Raw genomic sequence first — 23,030 nt, 5'->3', positions numbered from 1 at the left:
GCCCAGCTGCTTCCCCCAAATATTTATTATTACTTATGAGAAAACTCCGCAAATTGCAAAGCGCTCTACCACCAACGATTAGCACCCTAGGGCAAAATGAGCCCTTTACCACTCCCTAGATGCTCCCCAGCGCTAAGTTCCCAGCGGAGGTTGCAGTGAGCGCAGATCGCGCCACTGCACTCCAGCCTGGGTGACAGGGCGAGACTCTTGTCTCAAAAAAAAAAAAAAAAAAACAACAAAAAAAGCCAGTGATTGGAGCGTAATTACCCTCGCCAACCGCCTGTAACCACGGCGGCCGCCACGCCCCGTTTCCTGGTCTCGCCCCTCTCCGCCCACGACTCTGGCCCCGCCCCTCGTCCCAGGCTGCAACGGAGGCAGAGCCAACGCCTCGCGGGCTTCCACGTACGCACTCCAACGCGTGTTCCCGGAGAAGAACGCATCCGGGTCACGGGAGCCGGTGTCTCAGGCTCCGCCCCTTCACCCCCCGAAAGGCTAATCCCCACTTCCGACCCTCTCAGGCCTTTTCCGCTTCTCTTTTACCTCCCCAGGTCCGCCCGTCTGCGCCCCTCACAGGAAGCCGGAGGGTCGCTCTGATCCCGAATCTCCCACAGGCGTGAACCTGCTCTGCTGTGTATCTTTGCGGGGTGGCCTGCGCTGAGGCCTGCCGCGCGCGGTGAGTCCGCGCAGACCTGACCCTGCGTCTCGCAGCTCGGTTGAGGCCGCCGCCGCCTTCTCGGGATGCCGCGGCCGGGGTCCGCGCAGCGCTGGGCGGCCGTCGCGGGCCGTTGGGGGTGCAGGCTGCTCGCACTGCTGCTACTGGTGCCTGGACCCGGCGGCGCCTCTGAGATCACCTTCGAGCTTCCTGACAACGCCAAGCAGTGCTTCTACGAGGACATCGCTCAGGGCACCAAGTGCACCCTGGAGTTCCAGGTATCAGGGGCCTAGCAGTCCCTGGGCCCCAACTCGCGGCTCCAGGATTGGGGGTGTAACTTGAGGGATGGCACTTTCCTGTCCGTGTTTCCCCGTTCTTAGGCTAATTCAAAAATCGCTTCTAGGTAGCTGATGCCCAGCATTTGACTTTCCTCTAATAAACCTTGGGTGAGAGATGTTAAGACCGGGTGTTAAAATATATGAATTCCAGAAATGCTCCCTTTAGCATTTCTTTCCATCTCATTTTTAAGGCCTATTGAACTTTCTTCCTTAAAAGATTCCCTTAAAGAAAATCATTTATACTCTGTAGTACCCAGTGTCAACCCTCTACTCTCTAATCCACACCTCCAATTTAATTGGATTTGGAGTGCTGCCAATGTCTAACTTCATTGCTTTTCAGTTTTACCAATATTAGGACTGTTGGTTAATACGGTCCTTGTCATTGGAAGAGCTCCATTACAGGTTGAACGGCCATTTGCCAAGGGAGTTGTAGAAAGAATTGCTGTGATAAATGAGAGGCCCCTTCTGATATTTGGGATTATATAAAAAAGAAACTTTAACAGAATGTGGTTTATTCGGTTGGTTAGAACAGTCTTTACTGAGCTTCAATTTTGGTTGGTAGGCGCATTTAACATTTGAGTAGCTATTGAATACTAGGTGCCAGTGGTACAGAAGTGGTCGAAACAGATAGGGTCACTGCCATCATTCATGATTCCCCTCTCACCCTGCTTTTCTTAACTGGTATCTGCTCATTCATCAGAACTGTGCCTTAAGAGCAGTAAGTAGGATCCATGAAGGAAGACTTCCTTTGGAAAATTATTTTAAGCTGAACTTTAAAGGATGAGCTATAAACACCTTGGTAAGGGAGGAGGGGGAATAGCCTGTGGTAGTAGTGAACACTGAGAATTTCAGGGCCATAGAGAGAGGTCCAATATGGTTGGGAATAAGGAGCCAGAGCAAGGGGGTCAGCAGGGGCAGGCCAGATAGTGTCTTGCTGACCATGTTAAGGATTTGTTTTTCCTGAAAGTGTAGGAAGCCATCAGAGGGTTATAAGCAGTTCAGTGATATGACGAGAATATTCTTGGTAGCTGCATTAATAATAACTTGTGCAGGTAGAGAAGTGATGGTAAGATGTTGCAGAGCGGATGTGGAAGGCTGATTAGGAGGTTATTATGGTGGTCTAGACAAGAAATGATAGTGGCTTAGAGTAGAGTGATAGCAGTGGGGTAAATGAAAAGTGAAAGGATTGGAGAGAAGGTAGTAGGTAGAATCAACAGGACTTGGTAATGATTTGGCTATAGTGGGTCAGGGAGGGGAGGCCAAGGATGACCCTTAGGCTTACTTACCTTCATGGATTAGCACCAGGGGACAGAAAAGAAGATAGCAGGAATTGTGATAAAAAGTATAAGCCGACATTTTCTTTGTTTGAATTTAATAAACATTTCCTGGATTTTTGTGTATGCAGACTCAGTGATTAGTGCTAAGGATACTACTACAATGGCTAACAAATTAGCATCTGTTATGTGTAGACAGTATGTTAAGCATTTCAGGTATGTTCTCAGGAAAGCCCGATATGAAATTGTTATAGCTCTTACTCCTTTTTTACTGATGAAACTGAGGTTTAGATAGGCTAAGAACCAAGGGCATAAAACGTAGAAGTAGCTAAATCAGTAACGCAGTCCCAAGTTAAATTCTTAACCACTTTATTATACTACCTCCCAGAGACTGACTTTGATCTCAGAGAGCTTACACAGACATATATAGTCATAAAATGTTAAATGTGACAATAAAGGTACACACTAGGTATAGTGCTGGCAGGAGACAGAAGGATCATCAGGGGACATTTAGCTGAGGAGCTGATGTTAGAGGTGAGTCTGCAAGATAAGTAGCCGTTGCTCTACAAGGCGGCAGAGGAGAGAAGAAGGGGCCCCAGGCAGATATGTTCATGACAGTTCCAGCAGGCCTGAAATTAGCCTGAGCTATATTGCTAACATTTGTGCATGGCATTGAAAATACACTGAATAATAATAGTTTTGTGACTATAGTTATATTTATTAATAGTCACAAAACTATTATTATTAGCTTTAATATGAAGCTATTATAATAGCTTTGTGACTGTGAGTCCAAGGGCTTTGGGGGCAGTTTGTACCAGTTTGTCAACATTATTTATTGGTAACAATGAGATTGATGATTTGCTCCTGGTCTTCATGAGACCACACCCCCAACCCAGAGCTCTGTTGTTGAGACTAGCTGCGTAGCAGGAATATGCCTATGTGACCAGCAAAATATTTAAAAATGCAATCAGGACTCTATTTTGGGTTGCTTGGTTCCAGGGTGTTTTCTTTGCACACTTGGGTGGTTCCAGATCTGAGAGAGTATATGTCTGGCCACACACCTAACAAAGGGAAGCCGAAGGAGCCCACACCTGACCTTTTCAGATCTCTTGCTGTGAGGCAGCCTTTGGCTGTAATGTTTTATATTCTTTTCCTTTTGGGGCTCTTTTCAGTCCCAAGTTAAATTCTTAGCCACTTTATTATACTACCTCCCAGAGACTGACTCTGACCTCAGAGAGCTTACATAGACATATATAGTCGTATAATGTTATAAACTGTAGATTTATAACATAACCTACAGTAATAAACTGTAGATTTGCAAACACTGTCATTTTGATCCGTGTGATTCTTTAGCAAACCCTGTTGAACTGCACTGTCAGTGCAGATGTAAAGCAAAGACTTGTTCAGAGAATTTCTGGTAGTCTGGTATTTTAGGAACATAGAACGAGTAAGGGTGTGAATAAAAGAGGTTCTGAAGCTACCTGGGAGGAAGAACATGTGAATAGTATACCATTGTTAAGAGGTTTAGATTTGTCTGCAGGCCACAGGTAATTATCAAAAAGTTTTTAAGTGATTGCTCAATGGGGAATGAGGAAAGATGGGGAGATGGGCACCCCTTCTTCCCAGGAGACATTCGGCATCATTTTAGGAGAAGGGCAGCTACCTGCATCTAGTAGTTAGAGACCAGGTATGCTGTTTAACGTGTCACAGTGCACAGGACCATACAGCCTCCTACAACACAGAATTATTCAGTTCAAAATGGGAATAATGCGAGGTTGAGAAACCCTGAGTTCGAGGGAGAAGATATTGGGTAGTGGGAAGACCTTTTAGGAAGTTGTGGCAATAGTCCTGTCTGGATTGTGGTTTCGGAATGCGATGAATTTGAGAGGGGCAAAAAGATTGAGAGATTTGTGTGATCATATGGATAGATAGGGACAGTTAGTTTGGGATGATCCTCAGTTTCAATAGTAGGTGATTGGACAGGTTTAAAGGGATACTGTTAAGTGAGATTACTTGTTTTAAGTTTGATGGAAGAGAAGTGGGGTGATGATAAGTTCTGGTGCTATTCGGTTTGTATGTATGTGTTTGATTATTCAGAATACAATGGTCAAATACGTATAATTCAGTATAGCAAAATGAAGTTATTTTCACCTGGAGAAAAAGTTACTGACTTTTTGGTGAGGATGGGGATTGGTAAATCCCCAATTGATAAGACACTTTTATATCAAAACATTTTATCTGTATATTAACATTTACATATTTTTACAGTTTCATAAGTGCATAATTATTTTCATTAGATTATCAAAATGATATGTAACATAGTTCATTAGTCATCTTCTCTCAAGTGAGAAAAGGTCACACAGATCCTTCTTTTAAATCCAAAGTTTGACCTAGAATGTCAGGATGCTAACCAAGAGAGTTCAAGGTTGAAAATAACAATCTTGTGCTCCCCAATCACATGGTGGTTTGGGAACCCTTCATTCAACCCAATGTGTATACGTTCACTCTGTTCACCTCTCTGCACTCCCTCTTTCTTCCTACTCAGTTCTTTCTCATGTAAGGAAGCCTTTCTCTTTAATCCTTTCCCCCTTTTGTCTCTTACAATACTTATCCAGTTACCGCAGGAAAAATCTCTCCCTCCTCTGTACAACCCAAATGGCTGGAATTGTAACTGATTAAGCATAAGCCGTGGAAAGTAGTTCCACAGTTCTGTTCAGACTCATATCACCTACCTCCAGGCTTCCATTCAGTATGTTTGCCATTAAGTACTGGCTTTCTAGATAAACAGACTTGTTGTCCTTCATGTTATTTTGTTTTTGCTTTAATCACAAGAGTTTCAACAATATTTTATTTAATCAGTTACGTGTCTCTCCTCAAAACAAGGTTGTAAATGATTATATACTTTTAGAATAGCCCACTCCGTTACTCAACTTATAGTGTAGTTCAAAACAAAATGTATATCAAATTCCATATAACTGACTATAAAAGAACTTAATAAATGTAATCTATTTGTAATTTGGCAGTAAAATGAGCTTAAGTTCTATGATAGAAGTATGAATGGGGTGTAATCCTAAGGATTGGCCTACCTTGTTACTTCACTGTGTGTGTGCTTGGATGATGCTAATAGGAAAGTGGGTTAGAAAATTTTCAGAAGGAAAATATTGCAGGCAGTAAGCTTAGAGGTTAAGAATATGACTTTGGAGTTCAAGTTCTGCCTTTCCCACTTAATTTAGATGAACAGTCTTGAATAGTTCGCTTATTTAACATCAGTTTTTCAGTCTGTCAAATGGAAGGAAAAAAGTATATTGTAGGGTTGCTGGGAGAATTAAGTGATCTAATAGATCTCCATTAATTAGCACAGTTGTCTGGCTAGTTCAAAGTGAATAAAAGTTGGAGAATACTTGTTCAGTTTCTGTAAAGTTTAGTTGAAGTAAAATCTCCCAAGTTCCATCCACTGGTGAAAATTTAAAAAGATAGTAAAAGTCCTTTGCCCATCACCTTATTGCCATTTTAATAGGAAATCTGATTAAATCTGATTAATTTTTCACACTTTTCACAGTGATTTTTCTTTTTTAATCTCTTACAGGTGATTACTGGTGGTCACTATGATGTAGATTGTCGATTAGAAGATCCTGATGGTAAAGTGTTATACAAAGAGATGAAGAAACAGTATGATAGTTTTACCTTCACAGCCTCCAAAAATGGGACATACAAATTTTGCTTCAGCAATGAATTTTCTACTTTCACACATAAAACTGTATATTTTGATTTTCAAGTTGGAGAAGACCCACCTTTGTTTCCTAGTGAGAACCGAGTCAGTGCTCTTACCCAGGTAAATAAAAAAATCAGCAATATAATGTTGGTATATTTAAAAGGAGGAAAAAAGCATAATTTAATATCATGCACTAACTGATGAGCATGGAATTTTGAGACTGACAGTCTTTAAAATCTATCTTAATTCTTACATGTAGGCATTTCACAGAGAACTTCAGACTTTTGTAGTGAAAAATAATGTTGAAAGATTTTATGAACTTTTAATTGTAAAGAGAAAGAAGCATTAAAATAAGGAGGAAGATCACTAAGGTAGAAACATCAGTGGTAAAAGAAGGTTGGGAAGGCTGAGCAGTGTTCCAATCTTCTGAAGCATTTTCTTTAATCCCTGAAGGAATGTTGCTGTCATACTCAGGAGGCTGGTGTAACTGGAAGCAAAATGATGCCTAAATTAGTAGATAAATAATACCATATCATAGCCTTTATACCATTACTTAGTGTTACTCAAGCTGCTGTAACAGTAACTTGTGCTGTAACTTTAGGTGAAATATTGAAGATTAATGGTAAGTCATCTCACAAAAATAGTTACAAAAGCTAAATTCAGATTTATTTTGGAGACATAGAGAAAGCGTAAAAAATTTAAACCCAGTGAACAACTATTGCTTAGGTGATGAGGACTGTTTTATTTCTAGTTCAAATACAGCAAAATCCAAAATGCTTCAAAATCCAAAACTTTTTTTTAGCTCCAACCTGATGACACAAGTGGAAGATTGTTACATCTGATCTCATGACACATCATTGAAAATATCATATACAGTTGCCTTAAGGCTGCATGTATAAGGCATATATGAAACATAAATGAATTTCATGTCTAGACCTGGGTTCCATCACAAAGATATCTCATTATGTATATGTAGACATTCCAAAATCAGAAAAAATCTGAAATTCAAAGCACTTCTGGTCCCAAACATTTTGGATAAGGGATACTCAACCTGTATGGGCTTAGATCGTATCTAAAAGTTACTCAATTAGGCATGAAAAAGAATTATTTACCACTTATTCGTTAACATCTTAAACTGGTATTTTAGTGTTCCCAGGTTCTATTTAGTCTCTTGGCCAAAGTCATGGTGAAAGAAACAGCTTTAAGAATGTGTAAAAGCCTTAATTCATAAACCTGTTGTTAGAATTAGCAAGATATATTCAAATACTCTTAATTTTAGAAATGTTCTCTTTATTTTAAGGTCTTGTGTGAAGGACACCTTGCTTTGTAAAATGATATTTCTTTGGGGCCATTACCTTAACCTGTATCCATTCCTTCATGAATTTTAACTTGTATAAGGTGGCTTGTTCTAAAAACCTAAGTGGGTAAATATAAGAAATGAATGGTAATAAAGCAGTTAGTATCATACCCGTCTTTATCCATGCTACATTTTTTATTTTTCTCAGTCTTATTTTTCTACTTTCAAAAAGATAATGTATCATATAATAGGGATCATTATAAAGCAACTTTTCATACTTTAAAATTGAAAATTACCAGCTAGTAAGTTCAGAACAAAATTACCAGCTAGTAAGTTCAGAACAAAATTACCAGCTAGTAATGCAGAATAAATGATAAAAGTTTTACTCTCACCATTTTTTACCTGTTGATAAAATGATGGATTTAGAGTAGGCAATGATCAGCAGTCACTACTAAAACCATTAAGTAAAAGGCTGATGGGGAACTTTATACTGAGTGGATCAGACTGAATGATCATTCACAAATGGAGAGATAACTAGACATTATGTGCCTTATCATAATATGCAGTAAGAAGTACACAACATTGACTACTAGACGTTCCCACCCAGAACATTGCACCTGAATTCCATCAAGTCTCTAGCTCCAAATGCCAGTTTACAAGAAATACAGAGGATAAAGGAATAACATGGGAATGCAATCAACAAAATCCAGGACGTGGGAAATGCCACAGGATAGGGGTTGATGGCAAGGAAAAAAGGAAAAACAAGGAAGAAAGCCTAAAGATTAATGAACACTTACATCAGCCAAATGATTGTGTTAACCTTACTTGGATTCTTACTTGAAAACCAACTTTGAAACAATAGGGGAAATTTGAACACTATTTCCTGACTTTAAGGAACTGTTTTAGATTATTTCATGTGTTATAATACTATTGGGGTTATGTTTTTAAAAAGTGTTATCTTTTAGAAATAAAGTATAAAAGTATTTGTAGCTGAAGTGATAAAATATCTGAGATTTGCTTTAAAAATAATCGGGGAATGTAGATGAAGCAAGATTAGCCATGTGTTAATCTTTGTTGACATGGTGGGGGTTCATTGTACTTTTCTCAATACTTTTGAATATATATGGAAGTTTTCACTGTAAAAGTTTTTTAAAAATCACATCTCAGGCCAGGCGTGGTGGCTTACGCCTGTAATCCCAGCACTTTGGGAGGCCGAGGCGGGCGGATCATGAGGTCAGTAGTTAGAGACCAGCCTGACCAACATGGTAAAACCCTGTTTCTACTAAAAATACAAAAATTAGCTGGATGTGGTGGAGTGCACCTGTAATCCCAGCTACTCAGGAGGCTGAGGCAGGAGAATCACTTGAACCTAGGAGGTGGAAGTTGCAGTGAGCCAAGATTGCGCCATTGCACTCCAGCCTGGGTGACAGAGCGAGACTCCATCTCAAAAAAAGTCACATCTCAAAAGTTGTAGAATGCATGTAATTTAATTTCTGTGATTTTCTCTAATCCAGTAGTTCTTAACCCATACCCCATGGACAGGCTTGAAGGAGTTCCTAAATATTCTGCATTTGGGTCAACTCCTTGCCTTTATGTGTACTTTCCAGGTGAAGAATCCTTGGGCAATATGCCATTTTGAGAATATAGAGAAAGCAAATCCTAGAAGCACATCTCTCTCTAGCTCCTCATCACAAATTAGGAATCATTTTAGCACAGTTTTGCAAATTTTTCATTCCTAGGGGCCTGAACAAAGCAAGGACAACAAAAATATTTGACTCTTCTAATAGGTTAATGCAGTTTGTTGGCCTCATAATTTCTTACATTTTTTAAAAGCACTTTTAATAGAATATTTTAATAATTATTCCTTTCATACTTACTTTGGCAGAACTTCATTAAACATTATTTTCTAATTTCTATATTCCTTAACTAAAATTAAAACAAACTTAGATTTGTTTTTAAAACTCTTAATACAGGCTTGTTGCATAAAATAATAATAAAACATATATTTTACCACTAGGATTAAGTTTGCAGCAGTAGAAAAATATTAAACCATGGTATACAAAAAAACTAGTCATTTAACCTTTCTCAAAACAGATGGTATAATAAATGTATAAAAAGGCAAGCTGTTATCAGCTAAAGGCTCACAAATTGATTACACAGTGAAACTGAAACTTGCATCCTGTTGGGAACATACATATTGGTTTAGTTGACTGGCATGAGGGAAAAGGCTGATTTAACAAATAGATAAATGTAAAAAAACAAAGTCATTCCTATTCTGATAGATCCCTTTCAGATTTAAAAGTTACTAACGATTTTGATGTTGTGGCTGTTTTAAACATAGTTCAAAGAACTTTGACTAATTCAGCTTTTTTTTGTACTGTGCTTTGTTTATTTTTATAGATATTTGGGCTTTGACTTATATTCTCATTGGTGAGCTCACTGCCATTTTCTTCCTAATTCTTCTTTAAAGAACTTGGGCTGGAAATTCTGTAGTCACCAACCTTAGCTGATAAGTATTTCTGCTATTGTTAGCTTAGTGTTCCATCTGCCCCCTTACTGATGCCATGGCTGTGACATCTCAGTTGGGGAAAACAGCTGCTTCATGAGATCTCTAGCCTTAACAGTTGTCCCAGTGAAAATGAGCAGGGGGGTTTCATTGCAAAGACAACTGGCATAAATGTATGAATGAATGCCAGATTAGTAGCATGTTAGTCAAAAGAGGAATTGAGATCAAATTGAAAGAAAAGCTGAATATGATAGATGAAGTCTACAGAAAGTATCACACATACTGACTGAAAATATTTCTCTGCAGATGGAATCTGCCTGTGTTTCAATTCACGAAGCTCTGAAGTCTGTCATCGATTATCAGACTCATTTCCGTTTAAGAGAAGCTCAAGGCCGAAGCCGAGCAGAGGATCTAAATACAAGAGTGGCCTATTGGTCAGTAGGAGAAGCCCTCATTCTTCTGGTGGTTAGCATAGGGCAGGTATTTCTTTTGAAAAGCTTTTTCTCAGATAAAAGAACCACCACAACTCGTGTTGGATCATAACTACGTTTTGAGAATTGATGCACCATTGCCACTGTAATATTGCTGTCCTCTAATTAATTTTAGGTACTGAAGAACTTAATATTGGCAACATTTTTAAATCCTTACTCATACACTTGTTGGGAGGGATGTACAATGCATATTCCCAAACTGTGGAAAGGACACCTTTTTTTATTTGTAAAGGTGGAAAAACTTTGGAACTCATTTTGGGCTATTCATGTTAAATATTCAACACCAATGATCTACTCTGTTCGCAGTTGTTTATATCTACTCTTCGCACACTAAACTTTGGTATTTTGATTCCTTTTAACCATTTAAGACTACTTTTCTTATAGGTAGTTGATATTTTAAAAACTTTAGATTTAATGTCTACATGTGTTAGGGAGGAAGAAAATTGCCTTTTAATTGTTAATAAGAAAACCAAATGTGATGAACTGTAGCCCAAGCCCTATTCTGCACTGTTCAGTTTTATGGAGGAAAAATAAATCTACCATAGGAATGTTAGTTAATATTGATATATCATGGTAAAATTGATTTCTCACTAGCTTAGAAAATGTCAGACTTTTGTTTTTGGGGTTTATAATTTAAACCAGCTATGCTATTTTTTCATAAAGGCATTTGTAGTACACAGAAAACAGTAGTTTCAGTAGTGTAAAAGAGTTTATACAGGCCTTAAATATCAGACTTTGTAACAGGTAGAAATATTACAGAATAATTTAAGACACTACAATGGGGGCAAATGAAATAGGAAAATTTTTAGTGAGTTACACGTACTCATTACATTTTCAGTGCTTTTACAAGGAAAAAAGGTGATATGTTTAATTTTAAAATTTTAATTGGCTAGCTCTTGCCCTTATATGACTTTAATGTCTGTGAGTCATTCCCAGCTTAAATTAACAATTGTTAGTATTAGTCTCACACATAAGTGCCATACATTTTATCCTCATGGATGTGATGCACTGAAAAGTTAGTTGCTCTCCTTTTTTCTTTTTTTTGTCGTGCATATTTTATTTCTGTAGTTTCTGGTTAGCTACCCTAAAGTGATTTAAAAATTTAGAATGCTTTGTGTTTCCTATTTGGTAATCTTCATTGACTTTTCTTTAGTTAATGAGTATTAAATAGTGCATATTCTGTAGACTATAGGGTTTACATTGTGTTGCATCTTATAACTTGTATAGATTGAGCTGATTGAAATAAGATTTTGTTCCAAGTATTATCTGATAGAATACAAGATGATTCAAAATTATATAGATATTTAAAGCTTTTCTGCTGTTTTTTTTTTTTTTAATTGCAACTGCTTTTCTGCCGTGCCTCTCTTCCCTACCCAAAAGTGATGAGTTCTGAACAAGACAAGACTGTCATATTGTAGAGACTTTGGTATGTGATACCATAGAATACTGATTGGATAGCCATCCTAGTCACTTACCAATACTGACTAGAAGTTAACTCTTAATTCTAAGCTATCTTAAAATGCATATATATACTTCTTGCATGGAAGAGCAAAACAAATTCAAGTTGTCATGCCTGATAATTTCAGATGCCACCGTATAGCAAAGGGTGAACATGTTTTCAACCCTTTAACTTTTTACGGTGTTTGAAGACCAGCTACTCCTTAATATTTATCAATGGATTAAGAAGTTTAAGATTTTGCAGATTTATCAATTTGGGTTTTTGTACTGAAGTTGTCTTGCGGCTTTGCAAGTGTCCCTTTATATTTAAATTTGAAAGTTGTAAGCACTGATGTTAATGTGATTGATCAGCATGGGCATATGTAAAATGTCCTTTTCTGGTTGCCTCTCTATGCTATTGTGTTCAGATACTTACACCATAATTAAACAGTAAGTTATAGACTTGCTGAGTTTGGCATAGATAGTGCACTCATTTAATCTGTGCCTCTCAAAACTTCAGAATATTAGCATATTACCACAAATAATTTTTGGTGAAACTATTGAGATATTAAAATTTTTGAAATCACTACTGTTACCTGTTATAGAAAATAGTGTTGGCTTAGTCTAGTCTCTGTGTAACTGGTTACATTTTGATGGTTGTCTATACTCAACTGGATATGTGTATGTAAATTAGAAAATACATACCTATCCAGACATAAATGCTAAGTAACATTTTTTTCTTCCTCCAACTACATAATTTGTAGCTCATCATTTTTCCTTAATCCTTTCCTAACTTGTTGCAGCAGTTTGAATTTCCCAGATATTTATGTTTGAACATAATGGCTCAGAATACATATTTGAACATCATAGTTGTATATATTTTTAAAGTAGAATAAATAATGGAAAGCAACTTGATATACAAGTTTATACTAAAATTTCAACTGTGTGAAGATACATTTTAAGGCATTACTTTGCTAATAATCTACACATTCTTTTTTCTATTAAATAAACAAATGGTTTGTGGTTCACAGCTTTCATCCAAGCTTGGTGATAATCAATTTTGAAAATACAGTGGACTGAAAAGCAAATTTATTCTTTCGAAGATTTCATTTAAATCTCTGTACTATGCATTTTTGTTTCAGTTTGTAAATGTGTAACATTTATAGTTAAATAGGACAAAGCAGGCCCTATGACTATTGTTTTCAAAAAATTAATATATAAATAATTCAGAGGGGTTTTTCATTTACTTTTGAAAAGAAATTTCTTTAACAGGATTGCACCTATCAATTTCTTGTAGAATAAAAAAAAATCTTTCAACAAACTGACTTTACTTGTTTCTGTCAGGATTTAAATCTTTCTAAAGCTCCTTATAAACTTAAAGCCTAGAGTACAGTTCTGTAATGAGAGTGATTATTTATTTGGTATTTTATTAAAATATCTGAGGGACTGTCCAAGAAAGAAGGTGAAAGAGAAATACCACGTCTGTACTGCCTAATTTGTAACCTTCTCTTTGCATTCCTTACTGAAAGTTTGTGTAGGTGAAAAGCAGTTAAATCATCAGTTGCTCTAAAGAGGTCTTAATTTTTAAGTAAATTACCTTTAGTTTGTATATTACCCAGTTGTATCAGTGTTTTTCTTAATAATGTAGTCAGAGGGGACAGTCTGGTTCCTGGGCATAATTCTCCAAAAACAACAGGGAAATAACTATAAATATAGGTTAACATTTATTGAATGCCTACCTTGTGCTAGGTGCTGTGCTGAGTATTTGTATTGACACATTTAATCTTTGCAATGATTCTATGAAATAAAGGTATTATTTCCATTTTACAGATGAGGAAACTGAGGAATAGAGGGGTTAAGAAATCTCATATCACACAGTATATTAGCAGAGTTTGAATATGAACCATAGCAGTCTGGCTCCAGAGCCCTCTTTCTCAAGCACTATGCAATATTGCCTTACAAAAAACCAATTAAGGATAGATCTCTGAAGGCTTAGCTATCTTGATTTCACTACAGCTCAGTAGCAGTTCAGTGCTTTGGCTTTGGAGTCACAGCCAAGTTCAAGTCATGGTTGTGTGACTTTGGATTTTATTAACTATATATTTCTGTTTTCCATCTGCTGCTAAGGTGATGCCATCTGGTATAATGAGAATGAAATGAGATGTTTATTAAACACTGAGGATCAGTGCCTAGCATATACAAGCACTTAGTAATTATATTTTTATCATTAGTCTAATTCTGGTCTCTTGATCTTTCTTTAGTTCCTAAAGTCCTTACTATGGTTTCTATTCATGTGGCTCTTACATGAACAATACATGACACAAATATGATAGTGTTTGAATGTCTGTCATGCACATAATAGTCTGCTAGAAATTTCGAAAATGAATAAGACTGGCTGGGCACGGTGGCTCATGCCTGTAATCCCAGCACTGTTAGAGGTCAAGGCGGGCAGATCACCTGAGGTCCGGCATTCAAGACCAGCCTGGCCAACATGGTGAAACCCTGTCTCTACTAAAAATACAAAAAATAGTGGGGCATGGTGGCGCATTCCTGTAATCTCAGCTACTCGGGAGGCTGAGACAGGAGAATCACTTGAACCCGGGAGGCAGAGGTTGCAGTGAGCCGAGACTGCACCACTGCAGTCCAGCCTGGGCAACAGAGCGGGACTCGGTCTCAAAAAAAAAAAAAAATGAATAAGACAGTAGTCTCACCTCCAGGAACATAACCTAGATGGTGTAGATAGGATAGCTGTATGAGCAACTAATGTTACACAGGTAATGAAGCAGAGTGGACTCTAAGGGTCTAAGATATTTACAGGGTGCTAGAGGAAGAAGAGAATATATAGGTCCAAAGACTTATTTCTTAGGGAGTTTTACATCATCTCCCCACAGCAGAAGCCCTGGTTATGTGACTATGCCAGTAATTGAGTGGTTTAATCTCCAGTTTAGGGATATGGGTATTAACCAGTCCCTGTTGCTACAGATTGAAAGACATATTCTTTAATTTTGCTAACAATAAAGGTGATGTTTGATCTCCTGAGTAACTTCTCCATCTCAGGAGTTTCCAAATTCTGGAGGAAAATACAAGGATGTTATCCTATTTTTATCATTAGGAATCAGCTTCCTTGCTGAAATTTAGATACAAAAGTGACACTGGTCTGGCATACTCTGTTTTTAGTGCTGGATGATTCCTAATGATCACTACTATTTTGAAAAGGCAACAGCATAAGAATTTGATTAATAATGAATGGTTCAAAGAACAAAGTCTACCCAGAATTTCATCATTCGTTTTGGTGTATTTCAGTTATTTTTATAGATATTTGTGTATTGTTTAAAGAAATTGGTATTGTACTGTCTATAACAAATTTTTACACTTTTACATTTGTGAAATCTATCATATAGAAGAGAGCATTCAGCATGTACAATTTAATGAGAAATAAAGTTATAAAACAGATACTCATATACCCAATGCTCAGGTTAAGAAATGTACATTGCCAATACCTTAGTAAGCTCCTATGTATCCTTTCCTGGTCAGTTTCCTGAATCACCCCAAGAGAGAGAACCAATATTCTGCTTGTAATGCAAATAATCTTTTCTTTGTATTTTTACCAATTAAGTATACTGGTTGTCACACTTTTTAAAACATAATTTCTAAACCATCATAAAATGATACTTTTGTAAATACAAAATCATGTACTTGAATGCATTGGCACTGTCAGTTTACTATCAGCATTTCTAAATGTTTATGCATGTTTGCTCACTTTATGTGCTTATCTCTCCATCAGCCAATGACAGTTGATCAATATGGGATCAATATGGGACCACACTTCGAGTAGTACTGATGTCTACATTCCTTAAAAATAGTCTAAACAGGTAGAAGTAAACATTAATAAAATTTAATAAAGTATTAAATTCTATTTAATAAATAGAAATGTCACTTTTTTTGTGACTTGCTGAACATTTAGTGCCATCCCTGATGATGCATATGGCTATAGTTTTTGTTACTGTGTTTATTATTAACATACCACCACTATGTATTTCTTCCATGAAGGCATTTGGATCATTCTACCTTTTTTGCTATTTTGAACAAAGCCATTATGAACATTCTTGTGTATATATGTCAGGTTGTACATGTGTATGATCTCTTGAGAATACATCCAGCAATGGAATTGGTGGGTCATAGGATATGTATATCTTCAAATTAACTAGGTAATACCTAACTTTTCCAAAGTAATTAGTGCTTTCACCAGCAGCATTAAAAGGTTCCACATTTGGTATTGTTAGACTAAAACTTTGGAAAATCTAGGCTTGTAATGGTACCTCGTTGCTTAATTTGCATTTCCATGAGGTTAATTATTTTTTCTACAAATTTATTTACCATTTGGATTTCCCCTTTTTGCAAAGTTGCTGTTTAAATCATTTGCCCATTTTTAAAAATTTTATTGACTTTTTGGTTAATAAAATTCCTTCATATACTGAGACTACTTAATCATTTGGTAATAACTATTTCAAATATCTTCTCACAGTTATTTATCGTTCTGCTCCTAGTGAAATGTATCCATCTTTTTCTCTATTTTTTGGTGTTTTTGTGTCTTATTTAAAAAATACTTCCCTCTCCTTAGGTCATGAATATCTTCTGTACTGTGTTCTAAAATATGTGTAGTTTTGTCTTCCACTCAAATTGAATTTTGTTTTGTGGGTGAGGTAGGTATCCAGGTTCTTTTTTTTTCCCTTGTTTCTTGAAAAGTCATCTTTCTCATTTGGTTGAACATGCCATTTCTGTCATCTGTGAAATGCTCATATTTACATGAGTCTATTTCTGGGCTCTCTTTTATTCCATTGATCAATTTGCCCATATATCAGTAACACACTGTCTTAACTACTAAAGCTTTTAAAAGTCTTGATATTTGGTAAAATAAGTCTTTTTATACCTTGTTCTTCAAGATTTTGGCTGTGATCAGTTCTTTGCACTTTTATACAAATTTTAGAATTTCAACAAAACAAAATTGTTAGGATTTTGATTGGGATTGTATTGTATCTGTGAACAAATTCTTTATAGTAGTGCATTTTTTGGTGAGTTAATGTTGTCTTTCCATTGTATCTTTGAATAAAGTCTTAAAATTTTCTTCATAGAAATACTGCATACATATATTTTGTTAATCTTATATCTTTTTGTTTTTGATGCTATCATAAATGATATCTTTTAAGTTTTTAATTTTTTGTTCGTATGTGGGGATACTTTTTAAATTGATTTTTCTATTCAACCTTGCAAAAATCTTTTTTAAAGTTTAGTAATTTATCTGTAGATTCTTTTGGACTTTCTATAAGTAATGACAAATTTGTCTTTCTATTGTCCTTTTCTTTTTCTTGCCTAATTAAATTTGCAGGGACCTCCAGTATAATGTTGAATAGGTCATGTGTAGGCATTCTTGTTTTGTTCCTGTTCTCTGGGAATGCTTTCAAAGTATTCTCTAAGCATTTTATGATACTTTTATTAAATTTAGAAATTTCCCACCTATTCTTATTTGCTAAGAGTTTTTTATAATCATAAATGATATAAAATTTTGAATTTTCAAAAAGCTCTATTGAGAAAAATCATGATTTTTCTGCCTTTATTCTCTGAATGTAGTCAGTTACATGAACTGGATTCCTATTATTAAGCCAACCTTCTCTTCCTAGGGTAAAAAAAACCTGGCCACGATGTGGTTTGACTGCTTTTAATAGCTGGATTTGTTTTAAGATTTTTGCTTAATATCAAGGCTGTTTTAGCCTTATAAAGTGATTTGGAAACTGGCTTTCTTTTCTTGTTTTCTGGGAGAGCTTGTATATAACATTTACATTACTTCTTCCTTGAATGTTTATTAGAAATCATAGGTGAAGTGTGTTTGGGGCCTGGTGTCTTCTTTATGGGATGCTGATTCAATTTCTTTTTATTAATAAGGTTCAGCTTTTCTGTTGTGTAATATTGGTAGATTGCATATTCCTATGTATCTTTCCATTACGTCTACACTTTCAAATTTGTTAGCACTGTGTTTTTCCTGTACACTTAACATGTGCCAGATCTGTAAGGATGGTACCCTTTGTATTGCTTATATTGCATCTGAGATTGTTTGTATCTTTTTTCCTTGACTAGTCTTGCTAGAGGTTTATCATATTTATTGTTTTTGCTTTACAAAGAAGCCAATATTTTTGTTTTTCTTCTTTGTTATATTTTCTCTATTTTGTTGATTTCAGCTTTTTCTTTTCTATGTTAATATGTCATATTATTGTAGTGGATGGTTAGCTCTTCAAATTTTCAACTTTCTATTCTGATTTACATATTTAAAGCTATAGATTTCCATGATAATGCTACTTTATCTCTTGCGTTAGTTTTCTATGCTGGGTAACAAATTACCACAGGTTTACTGGTTTATAACAGCATAATTTTATTATCTCACAATTTCTTGGGGTTAAGAGTTTCAGCATGGCTTAACTGGGTCCTCTGTTTAGGGTCTCACAAGGCTGCAGTGAAGTCAGCTGAACTGCATTGTCATCTGGAGCTCACAGTTCTCTTCTAAATTAATCAGATTGTTGATAAAACTTAGTTCCTTGAAGCTGTAGAACTGAGGTCCTCAGCTACTTAGGGCTGCTCTTTTATATAAGCAGTGTAACGTGACATGCCTTTTTAAGGTCAGCAGAACTTCTGACTAGAATCTGTTTCAGAGAAGGCCAGAAAGAGTTCACTTGGTTAGGTCAGAGTCACCTGGGATAGTCTCCCTTTTGATTAAGTCAGAGTCAACTAAATAGGCACCTTAATTGCATCTGCAAAATCCTTTCACTTTTGCCATATTCTCTTACTAAATGTAACAGGCGTTGTCCACACAAAGGTATGGATATGGGGCTTGGAAAGGATTTCAGGAACCATCTTAGAATTCTGCCTACTACTAACTCCATTCTACAAGTCTCAATATCTAGCATTTTAGTTATTCACTAACTGCAAAGTTTTTTATTTCATTATCATTACTACTTTGATCCATAGATACTATTTGGAACTATAATTTCCAAACATGAATATTTAAGTTTTCCTTTATTGTTGATTTTTAACATAATTGAATTGTGATCAGATGATATATTCTCTATATGATTTAAATTCTTTGAAATGTGTTAACAGTTGCTTTATGACATAATAAGTGGCTGGTTTTTATAAATTTTAGGATGCTTGAAAAGAGTTCTACAGTTATTTATGTTCATTAATCATTTTAGTCATGTTCATTAATTTTCAAGTCTTCAGTATCCTTAGTGATGATTTTTTTGTTTTTGGTATATATCTCTTGATTACTAAGAGAATTGTGTTAAAATGTAGCTAGCATGATTTTAGATGTGTTTGTGTGATTCTTTCAATTTCTCTCTTTTTCTATTTTGTATTGGGATACAAATGTATAATTGTTATATTTTCCAGGTTAATTGAAAGAAGCTTTATCATTACAAAATTATCTTTATTTCCACTAATAAATTTTGCCTTAAAATTAATTTTATTTGATATTAATGTAGCTATACCAGCTTTCGTTTGGCTAGCACTTGTGTCGTATATCATTTTCCACAGTTTTACTTTCAGTCTTTGTGTATATTTAGTTTTTAGAGGTGTCTCGTTTATATCATATTGTTGTTACTATTAGTATGTGTCCTATCTGTTCTATGTTCCTTTTTTTCTACTTTTTTTTTGATAGTTTTGTTTTTGTTACTCCTTTTTTTCTTCTACCTATCAGATGGGATGTTGTATATATTTCTGTTCATGGTTGTTCTAGAAATTTCATTATGCATCTCTGACTTATCAACGCCTAAACTCGCCCAGACTTCTGCGCAGTGCAGTAGCCTTAGAACACTTTAATCCCATTTACTTTCCTCCCAGCTTATATATGTGGTTGTCACATATGTTGTATCTCTTTAAATGTAAGTTATTACTGTTGTTTTATATAGTTAATATTGACTTAGATTTACCCACAAATTTGCCACCTTTCTTACTCTCCATTCCTTGCTGTGTCTTTGAGCTTCCATCTGGAGTAATTTTTCTTTTGCCTGAGTATATGTTTAGAATTTACTTTAGTGCAGGTCACCTGGTGGCACATTTACTTTGCTCTTGTTTTTTGAAATGTCGTTATTTTGCCTTCTTTTTGAAGGACTTTTTTTTTCTCCCTTGAAATGGATGGTTATCTGGAAAGGTAAAGATAACTTTCCCTTGTATTCTGACTTCCACTGTTACTGGGAAGAAGTCACCTGTCAGTCTTTTGCTCCATTTAGACTAATCCATTTTTTTTTCCTCTGGCTGCTTTCACGATTTTCTCTTTGTAATTATAATTTTTTTTTTTTGAGTTTCATTGTGTTGTATATACGTGAGGATTTTATTGTATTTTCCCACTTAGGCTTTGTTTGGCATCTTAGATCTGTGGGTTGATACATCAGTTCTGGAAAATTCTCAACCATCATTGATTTGTTCAAATTTTGTTTAGAATCTTACATCTATATCCATGAGCGATGTTGGTCTTTAGTTTTCTGTTTTTGTAATGTCTTTTGTCTGATTAGTATGATACTAATGCTGGCTTAATAGAATGATTTCAGAAGTATTCCCTCCTTTTGAATTTTTTTGAAGAGTATGTGTAGGATTGGTATCATTTCTTCCTTAAATGTTTTGGTAGAGTTCACCATTGAAGTCACCTGGACATGAAGTTTTCTTTTTCGGAACATTTTTCACTACACCTTAATTTCTTTGATAGATTTAGGGCTTTTAAAATAATCTGTTTCATCTTGACTGTTTGGCTTTTAAGGATTTTTTCCATTTCATATAAATTGTTGAATTTGCTGGCATAAAGTTGTTCATAATCTTTCCTTAGTAACCTTTTAATAACTGGAATGTCATGTCCCTCTCTCATTTCTAATATTGGTAATTTGCATCTGCTCTCTTTTTTCTTGACTTATCTGGCTAGAAGTTTATTGATTTTGAACGTCCTAGTAAACCATCTTTTGGTTTTATTTCTGGGGGAATAAAGTACCATAATCAAGCTTAGTAATCCTTCTTCTTACCTTCCTCCAGGATTTTGACTAGATGGGATTCTTTGTCTAATGAAGTGACCTAAACCTTCATTTCTACAGAATTGAGCCGTTGATAGGCCTGTCTTTACTGGGTTGCTGCAGTTTTCCACTGACTAGGACTGTTAGCACTAAGAGGCATTCCAGTGAATTTCCTCGTTTCCATATATAGCCTATATAGCCTTCTTGTTTCCATTGTAAAACAGAAACACAGTTTTCCTCTGATAACTGGAATTAGCTACCCTGGCCAGTCCATTGAGCTGCTTTTCTGTTACTTTAATGGCATGAGGAACCTCAAAAGGCCAGGGCCAGTCTCGGCTCCTAAATCATCAAAACATGATTATTTTTCCTGAAGGAAGTGTTCTACTCTTGGACTCTAGAATTTCTAAACCCACCAAGCCCAACATTTTGGGAATGGGAAGCAAAAATTATTCACGTAGATTCTTAGGTATACTATTGAACAGAAACACTCCTTCTACCCTTTGGCTCTGAGACCTGTGCATCCTGATAGTGGGGAGACAGCTCCATATATTGACTGCTTATTAAATTAATGTACCACATTCTATAGGACACCACCCTACCTTTTCATGATGTTGCCTCCCAGATATCTCTGTAACCGAGCTCTCATTTTGCCACTCAGCTGTTCTATCAAGCTAGTTACTTTAGGAGATAAGCATGTGTTAAAACCATTGAATTCACTTCCATTGCCATAAACTGTGTACCTGGTTGGAAGAAATGTTTTTGGGATTCCTATGCAATGGATAAAACCTTCAGAAATGTCAAGAATATTAGTGCCAGTGGAAACACTGCAGGCAGAGAATGCAGATTTATACCTTGAATGTGAATTATCTTTGTGAAGACAAAGTGCTACCTATTTCTTATGGAAATTGCCCAATGTAACCATCATGTTACCGGGTTGCCAGCAAGTCTCATTGACAGTAATGCCATATTAGGAACCCAGCCTTGGAAATGTAGTCACACTCCACGTTGTTGCCAGGTTGGGCATTCGGCAATGATAGTAGCCAAATAATGTAGGTAAGGAGAAGACCATACTATTGAACCTCTGTCACTGCTTTGATAGCCACTTGGTACATGGGCCCATTAACCAAGCCCTGGGTTGGCTGGAGAAAAAGACTGACATCTACCAGACAATTCATCTTGTTCCGCTTATTATTGAAAATCTTCTCCACCTGATGCATCCTGTTAGGCACTTATGGGGGATATGAATATCTTCACATGCCCTCACCACTCCAAGAGGGTTATCTGTAAGTCTCACGGACAGATCTTTTACAAATTTTCCATTTTGTTCTTTCCAAGAACCTAAAAGCTGGACAATCCATTAGACACTGCCTGTAAGTCAGTATATTTATCAGTTTGTCATGTCGTCCCCTCCTTTCTTGAATGTGAATAACCAGGTATGTAGCTAGAAATTGCCCACTAGGAAGATTCGCTGTCCCCATTAGCAATGCACGGATCTGAAATTGTCTCACTTCTTTACATATCTGTCTGTCTCCCAGATTAGACTATAAAATCTCCATGAGAACTAGGACTGTGTCTCCTGTTCGCACAATATCCCTAATGTCTAGCACATAGAATATATTCTAAACATATGTGGCGTAAGTGATTGATGCATTTTCTTGAACATTTGGAGAGAAAATGTTAAGCAATTAAACTTGTAACCAATTTAAGATTTTTTTTAGTACATGTGACTGTATTATGAAGAACAATGCAAAATTTGGAGCAATTTACAAGAAGATGGAACAGTTCAAGTAAATTTGCCCATGACACTAGTGACTTCAGGCTCTTTTATGTATGCAACCTAAGTGATGAATAGGGAAGTACGTGTTTATGGAATCTGTCATTGGTGGTATTTCAGTGGGAAAATGTGAAAAGCTCTGATTTTGAAGGGTTGCCAGAGAAAGAGGAACAGGCAGAGGAAACTGAAAGAAGAATTTTTTTTTTTTTTTTTTTTTTTTGAGACGGAGTCTCACTCTGTGGCCCAGGCTGGAGTGCAGTGGCGCGATCTCGGCTCACTGCAAGCTCCGCCTCCCGGGTTCAAGCCATTCTCCTGCCTCACCCTCCCAAGTAGCTGGGACTACAGGCAGCTGCCACCACTCCCGGCTAATTTTTTGTATTTTTTAGTAGAGACGGGGTTTCACCGTGTTAGCCAGGATGGTCTCGATCTCCTGACCTCGTGATTCACCCGCCTCGGCCTCCCAACAGGCCTGAAAGAATTTTAACAAGCAGGATGAGCATAAAGG

General features: G+C 36.4%; 2 protein-coding genes and 1 long non-coding RNA gene across 5 annotated transcripts in view, besides 2 other annotated features; 2 read left to right on the top strand and 1 right to left on the bottom strand.

Moving 5' to 3' along the window:
• Window positions 430-599: an enhancer, noted in NCBI's record as "active region_22936". NCBI's record gives its function as "activates an Ori minimal core promoter by ATAC-STARR-seq in GM12878 lymphoblastoid cells {active_cell/tissue: GM12878}" and the evidence as "EXISTENCE:reporter gene assay evidence [ECO:0000049][PMID:35858748]".
• On the top strand, window positions 495-13,321 carry TMED7 (transmembrane p24 trafficking protein 7). The gene is made up of 3 exons (NM_181836.6): window positions 495-930; window positions 5,851-6,096; window positions 10,086-13,321. Exons 1-3 carry the CDS (start codon window positions 739-741, stop codon window positions 10,320-10,322), a joined length of 675 nt encoding a protein of 224 aa, NP_861974.1. The 5' UTR covers window positions 495-738; the 3' UTR covers window positions 10,323-13,321.
• Window positions 495-23,030, top strand: part of TMED7-TICAM2 (TMED7-TICAM2 readthrough) — a 47,541-nt gene continuing 25,005 nt past the window's right edge. For both annotated transcript variants that reach the window (NM_001164468.4, NM_001164469.4), the window contains exons 1-3: window positions 495-930; window positions 5,851-6,096; window positions 10,086-10,213. In NM_001164468.4, coding sequence (NP_001157940.1) covers window positions 739-930; window positions 5,851-6,096; window positions 10,086-10,213 — 566 coding nt within the window. In that variant the 5' untranslated portion in view covers window positions 495-738. The remainder of the gene's footprint in view (window positions 931-5,850; window positions 6,097-10,085; window positions 10,214-23,030) is intronic.
• Window positions 770-839: a silencer, noted in NCBI's record as "silent region_16254". NCBI's record gives its function as "represses an Ori minimal core promoter by ATAC-STARR-seq in GM12878 lymphoblastoid cells {active_cell/tissue: GM12878}" and the evidence as "EXISTENCE:reporter gene assay evidence [ECO:0000049][PMID:35858748]".
• The window catches only part of TICAM2-AS1 (TICAM2 antisense RNA 1), an 18,265-nt gene continuing 1,346 nt past the window's right edge, over window positions 6,112-23,030 (bottom strand). Inside the window, exons 3-4 of one of the 2 annotated variants that reach the window (NR_109874.1) lie at window positions 7,332-7,392; window positions 6,112-6,463 (exon numbers count right to left, since the gene is read on the bottom strand). This is a non-coding gene — a long non-coding RNA (TICAM2 antisense RNA 1). The remainder of the gene's footprint in view (window positions 6,464-7,331; window positions 7,393-23,030) is intronic. The other variant, NR_109875.1, reaches the window with a different exon arrangement.

Source organism: Homo sapiens, chromosome 5, assembly GCF_000001405.40.
Source record: "Homo sapiens chromosome 5, GRCh38.p14 Primary Assembly".
Taxonomy (NCBI): Eukaryota; Metazoa; Chordata; class Mammalia; order Primates; family Hominidae; genus Homo; species Homo sapiens.
The sequence above is the reverse complement of the archived record's forward strand: the minus strand, read 5'-3'. Positions and strand labels throughout refer to the sequence as shown.